This window comes from Homo sapiens, chromosome 1 (assembly GCF_000001405.40).
Source record: "Homo sapiens chromosome 1, GRCh38.p14 Primary Assembly".
Lineage (NCBI taxonomy): Eukaryota > Metazoa > Chordata > Mammalia > Primates > Hominidae > Homo > Homo sapiens.
In genome coordinates this window covers 31,018,163-31,036,450 of record NC_000001.11, presented here as the reverse complement: position 1 = coordinate 31,036,450, position 18,288 = coordinate 31,018,163, and the positions used below count along the sequence as shown (strand labels likewise).

The 18,288-nt window shown below is 39.9% G+C and overlaps 1 protein-coding gene across 2 annotated transcripts in view, besides 1 other annotated feature; it reads left to right on the top strand.

The window, feature by feature from the left end:
• PUM1 (pumilio RNA binding family member 1) overlaps positions 1-18,288 on the top strand; it is a 134,212-nt gene that overhangs the window by 29,267 nt on the left and 86,657 nt on the right. For both annotated transcript variants that reach the window (NM_014676.3, NM_001020658.2), the window contains exon 3: positions 7,587-7,655. In NM_014676.3, coding sequence (NP_055491.1) covers positions 7,587-7,655 — 69 coding nt within the window. The remainder of the gene's footprint in view (positions 1-7,586; positions 7,656-18,288) is intronic.
• Positions 1,890-2,391: an enhancer, noted in NCBI's record as "H3K27ac hESC enhancer chr1:31506907-31507408 (GRCh37/hg19 assembly coordinates)". NCBI's record gives its function as "activates a minimal SCP1, AML or CMV promoter by ChIP-STARR-seq in primed H9 embryonic stem cells {active_cell/tissue: H9 hESC(primed)}" and the evidence as "EXISTENCE:reporter gene assay evidence [ECO:0000049][PMID:30033119]".

Genomic DNA, 18,288 nt, shown 5'->3' with positions numbered 1-18,288 from the left:
GGTGTGAGCCACCCTGTATGGTCTGCTCTTGCCTTTGATGACAACAGGAACAAGTGGTAAAAGGCATAAAGAGCTGAATTTGGGCCGGGCATGGTGGCTCACACCTGTAATCCCAGCACTTTGGGAGGCCGAGGCAGGCGGATCATGAGGTCGGAGTTCAAGACCAGCCTGGCCAACATGGTGAAACCCCATCTCTACTAAAAAATACAAAAAATTAGCCAGGTGCAGTGGCACGCACTCGTAGTCCCAGCTACTCGGGAGGCTGAGGTAGGAGAATTGCTTGAACTCGGGAGGCAGGGGTTGCAGTGAGCCGAGATAGTGCCACTGCACTTCAGCCTGGGCAACAGAGTGAGACTAAAAAAAAAAAAACAAACTTGAGTTTGAATTCTATTTCGGATCTTTATCAGTTACATGATTTTGGACAAGTAATTTCTGTAAACCTTGGTTTCCTCGTATATAAAATGGAATAACGTCTGTTTCGCAGTGCCAGTGCCTGGTGTTTAGTGTTGTTGTTATTGACAGTTAATAAATGATATGAACATTCATTCATAACATCATGCAATAGGTTTTGCAGCCATTTATACCAAAAGAGGTTTTTTGGTTTTTTTCTCCTCCAGTAATTAGGAAAGAATGATTTATCTATATTTTGTTTAAGGGCTGTAATAACTTCTTGCTATTCTTTTCTTTTTTTTTTTATTTGAGATGGAGTTTCACTCTCGTTGCCCAGGCAGGAGTGCAGTGGCGCTATCTCGGTTCACTGCAACCTCTGCCTCCCAGGTTCAAGCAATTCTCCTGCCTCAGCCTCCTGAGTAGCTGGGATTACAGGTGCACGCCACCATGCCCGGCTAATTTTGTATTTTTAGTAGAGACGGTGTTTCTCCATGTTGGTCAGGCTGGTCTCGACCTCCTGACCTCAGGTGATCCGCCCGCCTCGGCCTCCGAAAGTGCTGGGATTATAGGTGTGAGCCACTGCGCCCCACCAACTTCTTGCTTTGCTTCCAAAATGGGAATAATATTATCTGTGTTTTCAGGGTAGTTATGACTTTTTTTTTTTTCTTTTGAGACAGACTTGTTTTGTCACCCAGGTTGGAGTGCAGTGGTGCAGTCTCGGCTCACTGCAACCTCCGCCTCTCGGGCTCAAGTGATTCTTGTGCCTCAGCCTCCCAAGTAGCTGGGATTACAGGCATGTGCCATCATGCCTGGCTGATTTTCATATTTTTAATAGAGACAGGATTTTTCTCATGTTGCCCAGGCTGGTCGCAGGCTCAAGGGACCCACTTACCTCAGCCTCCTGTGTAGTTATGACTATTAAAAGAGATGATAAAGTGTATAAAGTATTTATGGGATCAGGACCAGACACAAAGTAAGTCTTAGTAATAGTTGTTATTAATACAGATATATCGTGTGCAGAAGATGCTGTAGAACAGATTTACTAGGTTTTTTTCCCTTTGTTGATTAAATTCAAATTAGATTAATTCTTATATTCTCTTTCCTTTTCTCATTGCTCAAGTTTCTCCTCTTTGCCTGCCATTTTCTCACTGGTATTTCCTTTCCATAATGGTTCCTGGCATCAACGATTCTGATTATATTGTTCTGATCTCTTTTAGTGAAATGGAACCATCATGATCTAGGTTTCTGTATGCAAAAAATCCTTGAGAACAAAAGTAGGTGTGGAGATGAAGAGCCTATCTTTATGAGGAAATAATCTAGCAAAGGCAGTTAAAAGTATGGAAATCTACTCTAGTTAACAAAAATTCAGGGGATTTAGTGAAAGAACACTAAGGACTCTCTGAACCTCAGAGCAAGAAATATATATGTGGGCTTCCTGAATACTTGGAGGCTTTCTGTTTTTTTAAAGGGCACTGTAGTCCCTTGTCTCTGCTTCTTTCAGCACATTTCTTTTCTCTATGTTGACTGCTACCTTTTGCTTATACGTCAATTAGCCACCACACCTGGGTAATTTTTGTATTTTTGGTAGAGACGGGATTTCACCGTGTTGGCCATGCTGGTCTTGAACTGCTGACCTCGAGTGAAACTGTCCACCTCAGCCTCCCAAAGTTCTGTGATTGCAGGTGTGAGCCTGTACATTTGTTTTAATATGGAAATTTTCAGTGTGATTTAATGAACTCCCCAACTCAGTGATACTCTGTTGTAACTGAGTTTGGTTTCTCTAATCAGGCAACAGACAACTAGTCAAATCGGCTCCAGTAAAGGGACGTTCATTGTAAAGACACACTGAGCAGTTCAGGACAAGAATGCCAGTAAAGCAAGTACAAGAACTGAACCAGAATGCTAGCAAAACCTGTGTCGTTTTTAGTGATTTTATTCCAGAATGCATGGTTTAACATAATGTTTGCTTTATTCTGCTTTTTAAGATTCAATGTTCAATAATACCTGCTTGAAAAATGGATAAATTGTAATTATTCAAATAATTGAATTTCTATTTGGATCATTAACTTCTTACAATTCAGAATTCCTTTGTGCCCAAGTCTGTTTGAATTTATTTTCCATGGCTGGGTGCGGTGGCTAATACCTGTAATCCCAGCACTTTAGAAGGCGGGAGGATTGCTTGAGGTCAGGAATTCAAAACCAGCCTAGATGACATAGTGAAACCTTGTCTCTACAAAAAAATTAAAAACAATTAGCTGGGTGTGGTGGTGTGTGTCTCTAGTCCTGGCTACTCGAGAGGCTGAGGTGGGAGTTTGAGGCTGTAGTGAGCTGTGATTGCGCCACTGCATTCCAGCCTAGGTAACAGAGCCAGACCCTGTCTCAAAAAAATAAAATGGGCTGGGCGTGGTGGCTAACACCTGTAAGCCCAGCACTTTAGGAGGCCATGCTGGATGGATCACTTGGGCTTAGGGCTTCGAGACCTGCCTGGGCAACATGGTAAAACCTCGTCTTCTTCAAAAAATATGAAAATTAGCTGGATACTCGGGAGGCTGAGGCAGGAGAATGGCGTGAACCCGGGAAGCAGAGCTTGCAGTGAGCCGAGATTGCGCCACTGCAGTCCGCAGTCCGGCCTGGGCGACAGAGCGAGACTCCGTCTCAAAAAAAAAAAAAAAAAAAAAAAAAAAGAAAATTAGCTGGATGTGGTGGCACATACCTATAGTCTCAGCTGCTCAGGAGGCTGAGATGGGAGGATCACTTGAGCCTGGAAGGTGGAGGTTGCAGTGAGGTGAGATCGCACCACTGCACTCCAGCCTGGGCAACAGCCAGACTCCATCTCAAAAAAAAAAAGGAAAAATCAGTAAGGTCGTCTTCTAAACTTCCTTTATTTTTTGGCTCGATAACCAATATGGTCTCCTAATTCTCTTCCTAGCCCTGTATTTAGATTTCCACCTTTTATTTCTGCCAGCCTACACTGTAGTCAAGGAAAATAACGTTTTTTTTTTTCTTTTTTTGTATTTTTTTTTAGAGACAGGATTCAAGCGATTCTCCTGCCTCGGCCTCCCGAGTGGCTGAGACTACAGGCATGCGCCATCACGCCCAGCTAATTTTTGTATTTTTAGTAGAGACGGAGTTTTGCCATGTTGGCCAGGCTGGTCTTGAACTCCTGACCTCAGGTGATCTGCCCGCCTTAGCCTCCCAAAGTGCTAGGATTACAGGTGTGAGTCACCACGCCTGGCCCACTTTATTTTATTTTTGAAACAGGGTCTCCCTCTATGGCCCAGGCTGGAGTGTAGTGGTGTTACCTTGGCTCATTGCAGCCTCCATCTCCGAGGCTCAAGCAGTCCTCCTGCTTTAGCCTCATGAGTAGCTGGGACTACAGGCACATGCCAAAAGATTTGTAAAGTGATACTTTTAATTTTTCATTTTCCAAAATGTGGTAATGTAGTTCCAGGTTTATCTATTTGATTAAAAACCTTTTTTTTTTTTTTTAAAAAAAAGATCACGCCACTGCACTCCAGCCTGGGCAACAGAGCAGGAGTCTCAAAAAACAAAACAAAACATTAACCTGAGACTCAAATAGATTGCTAGAGAAAAGGGAAGTGTAGAAGGAACTTGAAAGGCTTATTCTACCTTGATGGGAGCATTTACTCTGATTATAATTGACAGCTAGCTTTTCTCCTTTATCATGGAAAATACTTCTCCCTTCTAAAATATTTCTTACAAATATTTCTTACAGTGCCTTCATTTTTTGATTTCTCTTGATTCTTGAGCATCTTTTTCTGAGTATTAGTTTTGTTTCCTAGGAAGAATTTTGTCTGGAGAGTCTGCCCTGTGGCAGTGACTGTACAAAATACAGCTCCCAGTATGAATAAATAAGTTCCCAAATAGTTAAAAACTTTTGTGAGAGAATGACTTGGTTTATCTCATGTAGTCAACGTGGGTGACTGGTTTAAAATGTAGTTTCTGCACTAGCAAAACTCTTAGAAGTTGAGCCTCCTTTCTCAACAATTGACTGTAAGAGGTAGGGCAGGAGGGTGGTATACAGGGATAGGGAAAGAGTGTGGTTCTTATATAAATGAGGCAGCGGGAGATACCCTGAAAGAGGGAGGTGGGGAGGGTGAGTAGAGAGAAAAAGAGAGGGAGAGAAGAAACCAGAGAGAGAGAGAGAGAGAGAGGGCCAGGGGAGGCAGGGAGCGAGAGTGCGCATATCCAAAAGAGTGTAAATAGATGGTGAAAGAGAATGGTGGCAGGAAGATAGTGTAGAAAGGAATGGAAAATGCTACAAGGGCAGGATGAGCAAGTTTTGAAGGTAGGGGAAGAGATAGTGAAAAGCAAAGGCAAGACCAAGAGAGCACATTCATCGAAGCCCACAGCAGAAACTGACAGCAGTTTTATGTAGTAAAATAATAGAATATTGGAGGTGGAAACTTCCTTTGACTGCCAGGGGGCAGCTTGGTGGTACAGAAAGGGCCTTGAACTTTAAATGGGAAGACTTGGATTAAGATCCTGGCAGTGCCATGTAAGTGCTCTGAGCCTTAGTTTCCTCCTATGCTTTTCCCTACCTAACAATGGTTGGAGAAGGCATTTCTTGGAGGATCAGTTTCCTAATCTCTAAAATGGGAATAATCACTGTGAGGTTGTTGTGATGGCTACATAAATATACACAGTGCATACTTTTTTTCTTACTCCTCCTACTTAGTTTCCTTGGGACATATAAATAGAATTTTTAATATTTCTGGTTGAAACTGTATTTGTAGGTTTTTGGATTTCCAAGAAATGTCTAGCTCTATTTAAATGTATAATTAGATTCCACAGAAAGAGCTAGATACAGAGCTTTGTGCATTTGATTTACATGCTTTGTCAATGTTAATGCTGGCCTAAAGGTTTATCATTTCATATAACGTGTAGAGTTCCTAGCTAACATCCTGTCTTCATCCTCCCTACCCTCCTTTATTTTTATTATATACAGTTTATGAGTCTATTTATTGTGCTCATCTAATAATCTAAACACCATGTAAAATGATCATAGCTCCTATTTCAGGGCCTTTTTAAAACACCACAGTATTATAAGCCTTGTCTGTCTCTTTGTGCTCATGTAACTAACTGAACTTTACTCTTACTTTGAGTTTTATAAATTTCAATTTTTAGTGAGCATTCCCAATCTTTTGTATCTTAGTGATACGGTGTGTCTCATTTGTAGCATAGTATTGGCTGTGCGTTTTTAAAATATGTGACTGAAAACAATAATGCAACTGTATCTTTTTGCAGTGTTAGTTCTGACAGTTAAGATTCTTAGGTGATATAATGTATAGGCAGCTAGGCAGCATGTTATTAAATCCTTTTTTTTTTTTCCGGACACTGTCTCACTCTCACCCAGGCTAGAGTGTAGTGGCGTGATTTCTGCTGACTGCAGCCTCGACTGCCCGGGTGCAGGCTATCTTCCCACCTCAGCCTCCGGAGTAGCTGGGACCATAGGCGTGCATCACCGTGCCCAGCTATTTTATTTTTATTTTTATTTTTTAAATTTTTGTTTGTAGAGACAGGGTACTCTACTACATTGCCCAGGCTGGTCTTGAACTCCTGGGCTTTAGTGATCTTGCCTCAAATAAAATTCTTAAACTGATTCTCTTAATTGTATTCTGGCTCATGTTCTCCATACTCTTTTCTCCATTGCTTGGCCCTAACTTGACCCTCAATACGTTTATCCAGTGGTAGAAATTGTAAACAGACATTGGAAGGTAGTGGAGATCAGAGGAGGGAGTTTGAGAGACTCCTGCTTCAGGTAGTCAACATTGTTTTTCATGTAGGCAGAAGAGCAAAGCCTACATCTTTTTTTTGTTTTGTTTTTTTTTGAGACAGAATCTCGCTCTGTCACCCAGGCTGGAGTGCAATGGCGCGATCTTGGCTCACCGCAACCTCTGCCTCCCGGGTTCAAGTGATTCTCCCACCTCAACCTCCTGAGATTATAGGCGCCTGCCACCACGCCCGGCTAATTTTTGTATTTTTAGTAGATAACAGGGTTTCACCATGTTGGCCAGGCTGGTCTCGAACTCCTGATCTCAAGTGATCCTCCTGCCTCGCCCTCCCAAAGTGCTGGGGTTACAGGCTTGAGCCACTGCGCCCAGCCTTTTTTTTTTTTTTTTTTTTGAAAAAGGATCTCCCTCTGTTACCTAGATTGGAGTCCAGTGGTGCGATCACGGCTCACTGCAGCCTCTAGCTCCTGGGCTTACGTGATCCTCCCACCTCACCCTGCTGAGTATCTGGGTGTGTGCCACCACAGCCCAACTAATTTTTATATTTTTTGTAGAGAGGGGAATTTTGCCATGTTCCCCAGGCTGGGAGCCTACGTCTTTAATAAACAAAGGAATGTACTCTTGAATCCCTTGCCCAGGGGTAGGTGGTGACTCTAGCCTCAGACAGCAGAGACATGCTTGCTGCTCATAACAAAGAAGACCAGTAAACTAGTTGAATTATAACTGTTTTGAATAATCTATTTCACACATCATCCTTGATGTTATTACCTTGTAGGAATGGCTTTGGAGATAGATAGGTAAATTGAAGCCTAAAGAGATTGTTATGCTGTAGGTAGGATTACATTTAACAATTAGTAAGGTTTGGAGGGATTCTTGTGACATGTTATTTTCTCCCCCTGGTTAGGTTTGGGGAGCCCCCAGGGATCTCCCAATATGGAGAGATATTGGGATACTTCATTATAGGGTTTGCATCCCCCTTTCCTGAGGTTTACCAAAGAGAAATAGTGGATTGAATCAAATGCACTCCCTAATTTAACTTAACTGTTCACAACTGGGGAGGAGCCATGATCTTTTGACTCATTAGGTCACATAGTCATCTTGAAGGCATCATTGCTCTTCAGAATGTTGGTCTTATTAAATTAAAAAGTATGAGAAATAGCTAACATAATTCTCATGATGGAATTTGCTTTTTCATTCATTTGGATTTTGTGTTTTTCATGTTTTGAAAATATAAGGGAATGGGAGGGGAGAAAGTAGGGGTCATTGCTGAACCCTGATGGTTAAAGGTAAGTGAATGTTTAATCTCTTAGTCACTTGATCATTGCTATTGTCTTTGCCAATGTCTGAAAGTAAACATAGAATAAATTTTCAATTGTGTGTAATGTGTATGTAAAATTCAAGATGCTGACTTGAAGATTTTTCCTTCTCTATTCTAAACAATAGGTGCGTTCCATGGATGAACTGAATCATGATTTTCAAGCACTTGCTCTGGAGGGAAGAGCGATGGGAGAGGTAAGTGAACTGGTGTGTCAGAAAAGTGGGTCTGTTTTTAAGGGAAGGTTGGAGTTGTCTTTCATCAAATGTGTCCAAATCTAGTCTCCAGAAATATGTGCTTGCTTTTCCTTGTTGCCATTCTCATGATAGGAACGGGATGCTGGAGAATTTTGCCAAAACTATGTCATTAAAAGAAGAATGTTAACCATAACCTAATGTCTTAAAAGCAAAACAAAGTAGCCAAAATGTGAGCACAAATTATTGAATATTAATGTCAGCTATAAATTGAGACATTTTAAGTTTAAGAAGTATTTTAATTTTATATGCATTAAATAAAAGGCCAACCTTTACTTCATTTTCCAGTGGCTAGGTTTTCCCCCAACCCACCCCCCCCGCCAATGGCAAAGGGAGTCTTAGATTGGCTGCTAATCAGAAAATGTCAGTAACCTATTTTTAGAGTAGTGCCTTTTTTTGAGGAAGTTGTTTAGAGCTCCATTGTGAAAGGGAAGTTGTTAGGTTTCTAGTGGAGGAATTACAGAAGGTAGAGAGCTGAGCCAGTCATCCATTACAGGAAATTCAGAAATAAGAATTTTGCTTTGACTGTAATGTTTAAAATTTGCAGAAACAAAATTTACTTTTATCCATTACATCAATAGAGAGGGTTGCTGTAAGTCTTAAAAAGGAAGGGGAGTATAGATATCTAACATGTAGCCAACTGCTGGCTATTGTAGCTGTGACAATAAGCATGTATTGATGACAAAGGTAGAATATACAGTTTGAATTAACTACTTAAAATACCACAGGCCCACAAGTGACATTTGTTGTGGCTCTCTTGTTCTGGAAAGTGACGTTAGGTTTTCTCTTCCATTTCATTTTTTGTGTATCTAATATTTGATAGCTCCTACATCGATTTTAATATTTCACAAGAGGGAGAATTACTTTATTCTAGGGTCCTCATTTATACCATTTATTAGATACATTTGTTCTTTGATTCAGCAAATGTTTGATCCCCAGGCACTGTGCTAGGTTCTGAGGTCAAAATTAGGATAATTACTCTTCTGAGTTTGAAGCAAATATTCCTTGATTGCCTTTGTGGTTAGGCAGTGAACAGTTAAAAATTGTTGATGTTTAAACTGAGATCCTTGCTTTCTTTGTTACAAGATTTTGTTTCCAACTTTCTGAATCTTCTTGTGGCCACAGAGTCCAGTGTCCTATCATCTTGAGTTCATGCATTTTTGGTCTGTTTTCCTCCTAGAGCTTTAGGAGATGATTGGGAGATGTCCTTGTGTTTCCTGTGCCTGCCTAATGTCACTGACACAATGCAAATCAATAAACCCTGTATGGTTTAGAAAGTCTAAAAGACTTTGTCACTAAGTTTTTGGAGCAGATTTGAACAGAAAGTTAACATATTTGTTGGATATTAAGTATAGAAAGAGAAACTATATGTATTGTCTTTCTTACTCCTATAATTCTAAGCTGGTGTATTCCACCAAAAATCCAATTCCAGGTGTTTTTCTTTCTTTTTTGAATTTTTTATAAAAATAGAGACAGAGTCTCACTATGTTGTCCAGACTAATCTTGGGCTCAAGTGATCCTTCTGCCTTGGCCTCCCAAAGTGTTGAGATTACAGGCATGAGCCACTGTGTCCAGCCTGTTTTTATTTTTAAAAAATTAATGATACAAGATAAGAATAATGCCCTATTATTGTTTTGTGAGCAACAGTTTATAATCACTGAATGCTTAATTTTAATTGAATAGCAAACAATTTCAGTAGAGGGTAAAGTTTATTTAAATGACAAGTTGACAGTGTTAAATTCTTTTTTTATCATTTTTTTCTTCTTCCAGAAACGCCTTTTTTTTTTTTTTTTTGTGGTATATGTATATAATTCCGTGGGCATGAATATAGGCATATGTTAATAACAAAACAGTATATTCCATCAGTAATGCTGTGTCATTCTTCTTCCTTTCCCCACTATTCACAAGTAACAGTAACAACTACCATTTATCAATCATAGGTAGATGCTAAGGGGCTTTTATGCATTATCTGATTAATAACTCTATGAGGACAGTTCTATTATCCGGATAAGGAAAAAGGCCAAGAGAGATGAAATAATTTGCCAAAGGTAACACATCTAGTAAGTGATAGGATTCTTCCCTGGCTTCCTCCCACTGCAAGGCATGTGCCCTTAATTAGGGTAAATGAAGTTAATGTTTGTAAAATAATTGAGAGGTAAAACATTTCCTAAGTGTGGAGTGAGGTTTCTGTATTCAAGGAGTTCTTTCTTTAGCTAGTTAAGGAAACAATGAATATACATATAAACAGAAAGAGTAAATTTTTTTCTATGTATGGTTGGAGTTCAGAGAAGGCAGGATCATTATTGACAGGACTAGTTAGACTTTAATGGAGGAGGAGAGATATTCCTTAAAAAGCATCTTCTAGTTTAGTTAGGCTTTGGATAGGTACAGATTAAGAGAATTTTTTTTGCAGCAACGGGAGAACAGCACAAAAGAAAAAATGAAAATAAGCTTTTTTTTCCTTTTCTTTTTTTTTTTTTTAAGAGACTGAGTCTCACTCTGTCACCCAGGCTAGAGTGAAGTGGCACAATCTCGGCTCACTGTAACCTCCGCCTCCTGGGTTCAAGCAGTTCTCCTGCCTTAGCCTCCTGAGTAGCTTGGACTACAGGTGCATGCCGCCGTGCCCGGCTAATTTTATTTTTGTATTTTAGTAGAAACAGGGTTTCACTGTGTTGCCCAGGCTGGTCTTGAACTTCTGAGCTCAGGCAGTCGCCTGCCTTGGCCTCCCAAAGTGCTAGGATTACAGGCTTGAGCTACCGTGCCCGGTGGAAGATAAGCTTTTATAATAAAAAAGAACAGCTTCTAATTAACTTCATTAAATTTTCTTCCTTTTTAGCAATAAAACATCTCTGAGAGGGAGTGTGTATAAATACAGTATTTACTGGCCGGGCGTGGTGGCTCACGCCTGGAATGCCAGCACTTTGGGAGGCCGAGGTGGGCAGATCACCTGAGGTCAGGAGTTTGAGACCAGCCTGGTCAACATAGTGAAATCCCATCTCTACTAAAAATACAAAAATTAGCTGGGCGTGATGGTGTGCGCCTGTAGTCCCAGCTACTTGGGAGACTGAGGCAGGAGAATCACTTGAACCCAGGTGGTGGAGGTTGTACTGAGCCCAGATAGTGCCACTGTACTCCAGCCTGGGCAACAGAGTGAGTGAGACTCCGTCTCAAAAAAAAAAAAAAAAAAAAAAAAGACAAAAAACAAACCAGTATTTACCCATATAAACACTAGAAGTAAATTGCATGACTTTTAAGCTAGGCACCATATCTTCGTTTGAGTTATTTGGTTTCTTTGTGGATGTGTGGGCACCTATGCGCGTGTGCATCTGTGTGAGTCATTAGGGTAAATGCTAGTTATGTAAAGAATGTATGGAGTCTTTAGAATTCAAATAGAATTGGTTCCATTCAAAGTAATTGATTTCTAGTAGTTGAAAATTAGTGCTGGTTGACTCTTGTTACGTTTTTTTCTTCAAAGCCACTGTTGGCCTCTTGGTGTCACTTTGAAAGGTTTAGAGTATTTCTTAGAAGAAATCTTGCTAAGAGGTGACTACTTAAAAATATCACTCTCCAAGCTGTTCTTAGCTGAAGGACTCATAGTACAAGTGCTTTATGTGCTTCCTATTCTACAAAGCTAATATAAAAAAGAAGATAGGAAAAGATCTTAGGATCAAGGCCACAAATTATTTAAAAATTTTGTCTACTTTCCTTGTTAGCCCCTTTCATTTGGCTTAAAGCCCTGAGAAGTTTAAAGGCACATACTTTAGCAGCTTTTATTTATATATGAAGAGATCAGTCTGCTAATCGATGATTCTAGAAAAGGATGTTTGTAGTAGAGAGGAAGGCTCACTGACCTTGGGCTTCTGGGCTCTATTTCTAAATTGGTTTGGTTTATGATCTTGCATAACCTGTTTGCTCCACCTTTAGGTTGGCAGCATTGTTACTGTTCATGACCTAGAAAAGGATGGATTTTTAAAAAAGAAGCTGTAGTTGGAAAGTACTTTGAGAGGTTGACAGAAAGGTACTTTGTTCGCATAATTGGTTTTTTAACTTTTAAAAATCAAGGACCTTTTTTTCCCTTAAGATTCTTTAATGTTTTATGTGTAGTGAACTTGACAACTTCCAGGGAAGTTAAAATAGTAGTGAATACTAGCTTATTTCTACAACAAATGGATTGTATTTAGATATGTGACTCTTCACCTTTGTCTTAGAAAGCTGAAGCATAGAAAAACATACCCTTGATTATAACAAGTTTGTAAACCTGACAAAGGAAATCTAGAAAGTGCTCCTATATACAGAGTGATAACAAATCCTACCTTATTCACAGGAATTAGGATAACCTGAGATATATTTAAATTGTAGCTTTATATTCTCATTAGACATTATATAGTACTTGATCCATAGGTGTGGGATAGCAGAGTGGCTTATAGAGGGAGGAATTGGATAGTGATTTGGGTGAGCTGTTAATCCAAAGAAAGGCAAAATTTGGTGGGATAGAGGTAGCATTGGATTGGGCCAGAACTCTGACGCCACAACTTCTTAGAGCCTAGGTTCAAACATTCATCTTCTTTGCACTTACTTTTTTCTACCCGTAAGACAAAGATGTTGGACTAGATAGTTTCCTAGGACCTTTTCAGGTCTAAGATTCTGGGAGCTTGCCCTTCTTTCTCTCTTTAAAAAGATAGAAAAGAGGAATTGTTCTGGCCTTTTTAGGATATAGTAGAGAGTGTCTAAAAGATATCCTTTTAGATTGACTTTCCCCCCTGTGATTTAGAGATTTTGTAACTTTTCATTGGGGTTTTTTTTTTTTTTTTTTTGAGACAGAGTCTCGCTCTGTCACCAGGCTGAAGTGTGGCGCGATCTTGGCTCACTGCAAATTCCGCCTCCCGGGTTCAAGCGATTCTCCTGCTTCAGCCTCTTGAGTGGCTGGGAGTACAGATGTGCACCACCACACACCCAGCTAATTTTTGTATTTTTAGTAGACGGGGTTTCACCATGTTGGCCAGGATGGTCTCTATCTCTTGACTTCGTGATCCATCCACCTTGGCTTCCCAAAGTGCTGGAATTACAGGCATGAGCCACCGCGCCTGGCTTCGTTGGGTTCTTTAAAGTGACTTATTCACTGTCTGCAGCTGCCCAAGACACTGAAGTGTCCATCAGAGTTCGTGGGATGGTAATACTGGAGTCAAGGCAAGTATTAGCCTGACTCCAGTATGGAGACTAAATCTGTTAAATTTTTTTCCCACATCTTTCTATTATGGCAAACAGTGTCTTAATAGAATTGGAGGCTTTTGAATAGCTAAAAGTACTTCTAGAATCCACAGCTCTGGGAGGGCTACCTTAAATTAACACTGGCAGTTCTTTGCAATTAGGGTGCCATAAAAGCAGCACAGTTGACTCCAAAATGGACTGAGTTTTGGAAAGATGTCTGCCAGCAAAATCATATAGACTTTCTTGCTGAAGGGATGAAAAATTAATAATGCCTTGAGGTATATTAATATAAAAATATGTGACCAAGCAGTGTAATTAATTCCCCTTTTTCCTCAAAATGTAGCCTTTTTTTTTTTTGAGATGGAGTTTCACTCTGTCACCCACGCTGGAGTGCAGTGGTGCGATCTCAGCTCACTGCAACCTCAACCTCCTGGGTTCAAGCAATTCTCCTGCCTCAGCCTCCCAAGTAGCTGGGACTACAGGTGTGTGCCACCATTCCCAGCTAATTTGTTGTATTTTTTTTTAATAGAGACAGGGTTTCACTATGTTGGCCAGGCTGGTCTCAAACTCGTGACTTCCAGTGATCCACCTGCCTCTGCCTCCCAAAGCGCTGGGATTGCAGGCGTGACCCACTGCGCCCAGCCAAAATGTAGCTTTCACGTACAATAGGAATAGTAAAAACACCCTAGTTCCCTTAACTTTATGTTTTTTGGGTATTTTTTTGACATCTTGTTCTTGAAATGTTTATTTTAGAAAAAACAGCTAACCACGCCAAGTGGTCTGGAGGAACAAGATCTTGGTAGATGGCTTATTTTAGGTTAATGACTGTTAGAGGTAAAGTGACCTTTTTATCAGTATTGTTTGAGGAAGTTCCTGGGACCCAAAATAATAATTTTGGGATTGGGATTGGGCACTTTGAGGAACGAGATAGGAGAAGGTGTTTTCTAACCCAGGAAATGTGGTCATAACTGATTTGGAACGTAGTTCCCAGGTCTGTCCTGACTTTGAGACCAATGTGCAAACCCCACCCATTCTTCTGTCTGTCTTCTAACCTGCACTGGGAAGACCAGGAACATACTACTGTATGTAGATGTTAAGCTGTCTTGGAATGTTTGAATGCAGCAAATCATACTCTTGCAGCAGAAGATCCACATGCTGCTTACTTTGTCTTCATTAAATTTCTTCCCTTTCATCAACCTCCTTTGGCTAAAATGTTACTCTTTTATCCATACTAGCATGCTTTATTGGAGGGAAGACTAATAAATGGTAACACTTTTCAATATAATGATCTATATGATATCATTATCGATATGAATCTCCCAGTAGGTTTTTGAGAGGTATTATTCCCATTTTTTTTTAGATGAGCAGAATGAGCCCTAAGATTAAATGACTCCAGCTAAATTCTTAAGTGTCAAGATGGGGATTATCTTCAAATTCTGTTTTTTTTTTTTTTCTAGGCTCGGAAGTAATAATAGCTACAAAATATTGAGTGTATACAATTTTCCCAGAACTATGCTAATCACCTCATGTATGTTACAGTTTTTAGGGTGGTCCTGCAATATTATGATGCCTTTTTTTTTTAGATGGGGTGAACAAGGATTAGAGAAGTTAATGTAATCATTAAGCCTCTGTTTGAACCCAGATCTCTTATAACTCAAATCCTGAGTTTTTCTGGTTGGTTTCTGCATATTCACAGTCTACTTATTCAAGATTTAGCTTCAGATATCAGCTCCCCTATTAAAGCTTTTTTGCTCCCTCCCATTAGAAGCTGTGAAGGGGAATTCAAGTAGCAAGTGATTTGTAGTATTCTTACAAAGATGATACAAATGATGATCTGTGGCTTATCAAAGCCCCAGATGATACCCAGATGGTCTGGGCTTTATCTTTTGCATGCTGGACTCTAAAGTACTGTTTCAACAATCATGGCCCAGTTTGTTTTATACATAATGATTTGTGTATATATGGTGATGTTTTCTTTTTTCTCATACAAAAGTTTGTTGAGGGTGGGGCTTCAGCTAATAATGTGCTTTGTAAACAATAGCTGCTAAATATATTGTATTGAAAGAATCATATCAGTAAATATTTTTTCCTAAGCATAGTTTCCTCTTTATTTTTCCTTTTACATCAGAAATTGGTATCCTTGTCTATCCCCCAAGGGAGCTCAGTTCAATTTAGTAAATATTGGTTGTATTTTCTGTTCACATGACTTTTCTGCTCTCAGGGATGTTGGAGTGTACAGGGAGAGAATAAAGAACAGACAAAACTGAAAGCATATATTCAGGCTGTCTGCAAATATGTACATTTAAAAGCTATTCATTAGCTACTTTTGCAAAAATATAGAAGACAAACAATAAATCAGCAGTGCTGTTACCCAAATTGAATCCGATATATAAAGGCATTTTTAAATAAAGGATCTTTTGTTTAATATAGTTGTTACGTTGTTACAGATCGATGGTACTTTCTCTGGGCCATCTGTTGGAGCATGGAAATATATCCTCATTATATATACAGTAACCAGACATAATGATGTTTAGAAAAATAGAATTACTTTTGTTCCATTGCTTTCTCAAGCTGGTATTAAACTATGTTGTGTGTAATTCCTTCTTGGTTACTGTAACCTTGCTAATAAGGAACCATAACATCAAAGCAAATCCATTGTATTTTGATTAATTGGTGCATGATGTGGTTCTCATTGAGGTGAAGCATGTAGCAAAAGTTTATTTTCTGTGTTGTATTCCCTATATACATAGCAGGCATATCTATGAAATATTTGTTTCCTATAATGAAGGAAAAGGGGAACTCAGGGTTGAGATCCTTGTCTTTTTCAGATCAAAAATTTAAAATTCCCTGAGGCTAACTGGGTGTGGGTTTATTAGAGTATTTGGTCCCATCTTGATGTGGAGTATTCTTTGTTATCTCAGTCGGGCTGTTTGCTTCCTGCTTTGGGGGTGTGAGGGGGTCATGAAGCAATCTAGATGTTTTCATCATTGTATTTGTGAACTTTACAGTATCCTGAGGGGTCTGGAGCTTATCTTTTGTATACTGGGCTCACAAGTACTGTAATATGTAATTATTAAAGTGAATACCTATTATAAAATGAATGTGGTTATGCTATAGATCAAACCATGTAGTCAAAATAAATTGTTATACCAAAAAGACACTTGCGCTTGCATGTTTATTGCAGCACTATTCACAATAGCACAGACGTGGAATCAACTTAGGTGCCCAGCAACAGTGAATTGGATAAGGAACATGTGGTACACCTACACCCATAAAAAAAGAATGAAATTATGTCCTTTGCAGCAACATGGGTGCAGCTGGAGTCCATTATCCTAAGTGAATTAATCACTGGAACAGAAATCCAAATACCACATGTTCTCACTTGTAAGTGGGAACTAAACATTGGGTACACATAGACATAAAGAAGGGAACAGTAGACCCTGAGGACTCCAAAAAGGGAAAGGGAAGGAGGGAGGCAAGGGTTGAAAAACTACTTATTGGGTAACTATGTTCACTATTTGGGTGACAGGTTCAGTTGAAGCCCAAATCTCAGCATCACACAATATATTATAGCCATGTAACAAACCTGCACATTTGCTCTCTGAATCTAAAAAAAAAAAACCTTGTGTAGTTTATTCATATGTAAAAACACGTGACCTTATTTATAGGTAACCTGTAGATAACATAACATCCCTTATATGCTGTTCCTGTATCATGCAGAAAAGCCCGATTCACTCTGGGAATTTCATCATTTTATCAACATACTTTACTGTCAGTCTGTCAGGTTTTATGAAGACAGTAGAGAAGAGAAGTTTCTTGGCTCTGTTCCATTAACAAAATGTGAAGGTATAAAGAAACCTTTACTTTCAGATTCAGAAGGGCACGTGTATGGGAGCCTGTTCAGGTTAATTCATGACAAAATAACATGGAGTGTAAGGTGCTAACAGTATTTCTGAATGTTCTTTAATGGACTTGCTTTATGAAAGTATGAATGATATCTTTTGATGTGCTTGGTTTCTAGGATGAAGTCGTTGACAGACAGGGTTGTATTCTTTGGTGTGTGCAGAAAACAGGAAACCCCTGTGCGTTTTGAAGTTTAATGGTAGTCATCAAGTTTGCAATTCTATCTAATATCTAATTTGTGGTTGTCCTAAAATTTGTTTATTTATTTATGTTTTTGAAACAGAGTCTTGCCCTGTTGCCCAGGCTGGAGCGCAGCGGCACTATGTTGGCTCACTGCAACCTCCATCTCCTGGGTTTAAGTGATTCTCGTGCCTCAGCCTCCCAAGTAACTGGGATCACAGGTGCCTGCCACCACACCTGGCTAATTTTGTACTTCTAATGGAGGCGGGGTTTCACCATATTGGCCAGGTTGGTCTTGAAAATCTGGGCTCAAGCGATTCGCTCGCCTCAGCCTCCCAAAGAGCTAGGATTACAGGCATGAGCCACCACACCCGACCTGGTTGTCCTAAAATTTAAAAGCTACCAAATTCTTATCTCAACTTGATTGCTCTTTTTGCTCTTACTGTCGCCCAGCAGCCTATAGAGGATCTTCAGGGCAGCCTCAATACCCTTTGAATGCATAAAACTTAAACTTTTGATACTATATGCACACATTTGGATCTGTTTGTGTTTTTATTTTTTATTTTTGAATTTTCTTTTTCTTCATGTACCCCACAGGAGACTTAATGGATTCTGTTTTCATTTAGCTTTTGCACTCAGCTGTCTCTGCAGAATAGATTCCTAATTAAAAGAACTCCAATGATAGACTGGCTTATGTATACTTAGTGAATTCATTCTTGATCATCATAATGGGCAATGACTCTTCTGAAATTTATAGCTTTTATTTTGTTTTACTTTATTTAAAATTTTTGAGATGGAGCCTTGCTCTGTCACCCAGGCTGGATTACGGTGCCATGATCTTGGCTCACTGCAACCTCCGCCTCCTAGGTTCAAGCAATTCTCCTGTCTCAGCCTCCCAAGTAGCAGGGACTACGGGTGCATGCCATGACACCTGGCTAATTTTTTGTATTTTTAGTAGAGACGGGGTTTCACCACATTGGTTAGGCTGGGTCTCGAACTCCTGACCTCAGGTGATCCATCGGCCTCCCAAAGTGCTGGGATTAGAGGCGTGAGCCACCACGCCTCGCCAGCCTTTAATTTTTTTCATTTTTATTTTTTTGAGATGGAGTCTCTCTCTGTCATCCAGGCTTGAGTGCAGTGGCGAGATCTCGGCTCACTGCAACCTCCACCTCCCAGGCTCAGATGATTCTCCTGCCTCAGCCTCCCAAGTAGCTGGAATTACAGGCATGTGCCACTACACCCAGCTAATTTTTGTATTTTAGCAGAGATGAGAGTTTACCATGTT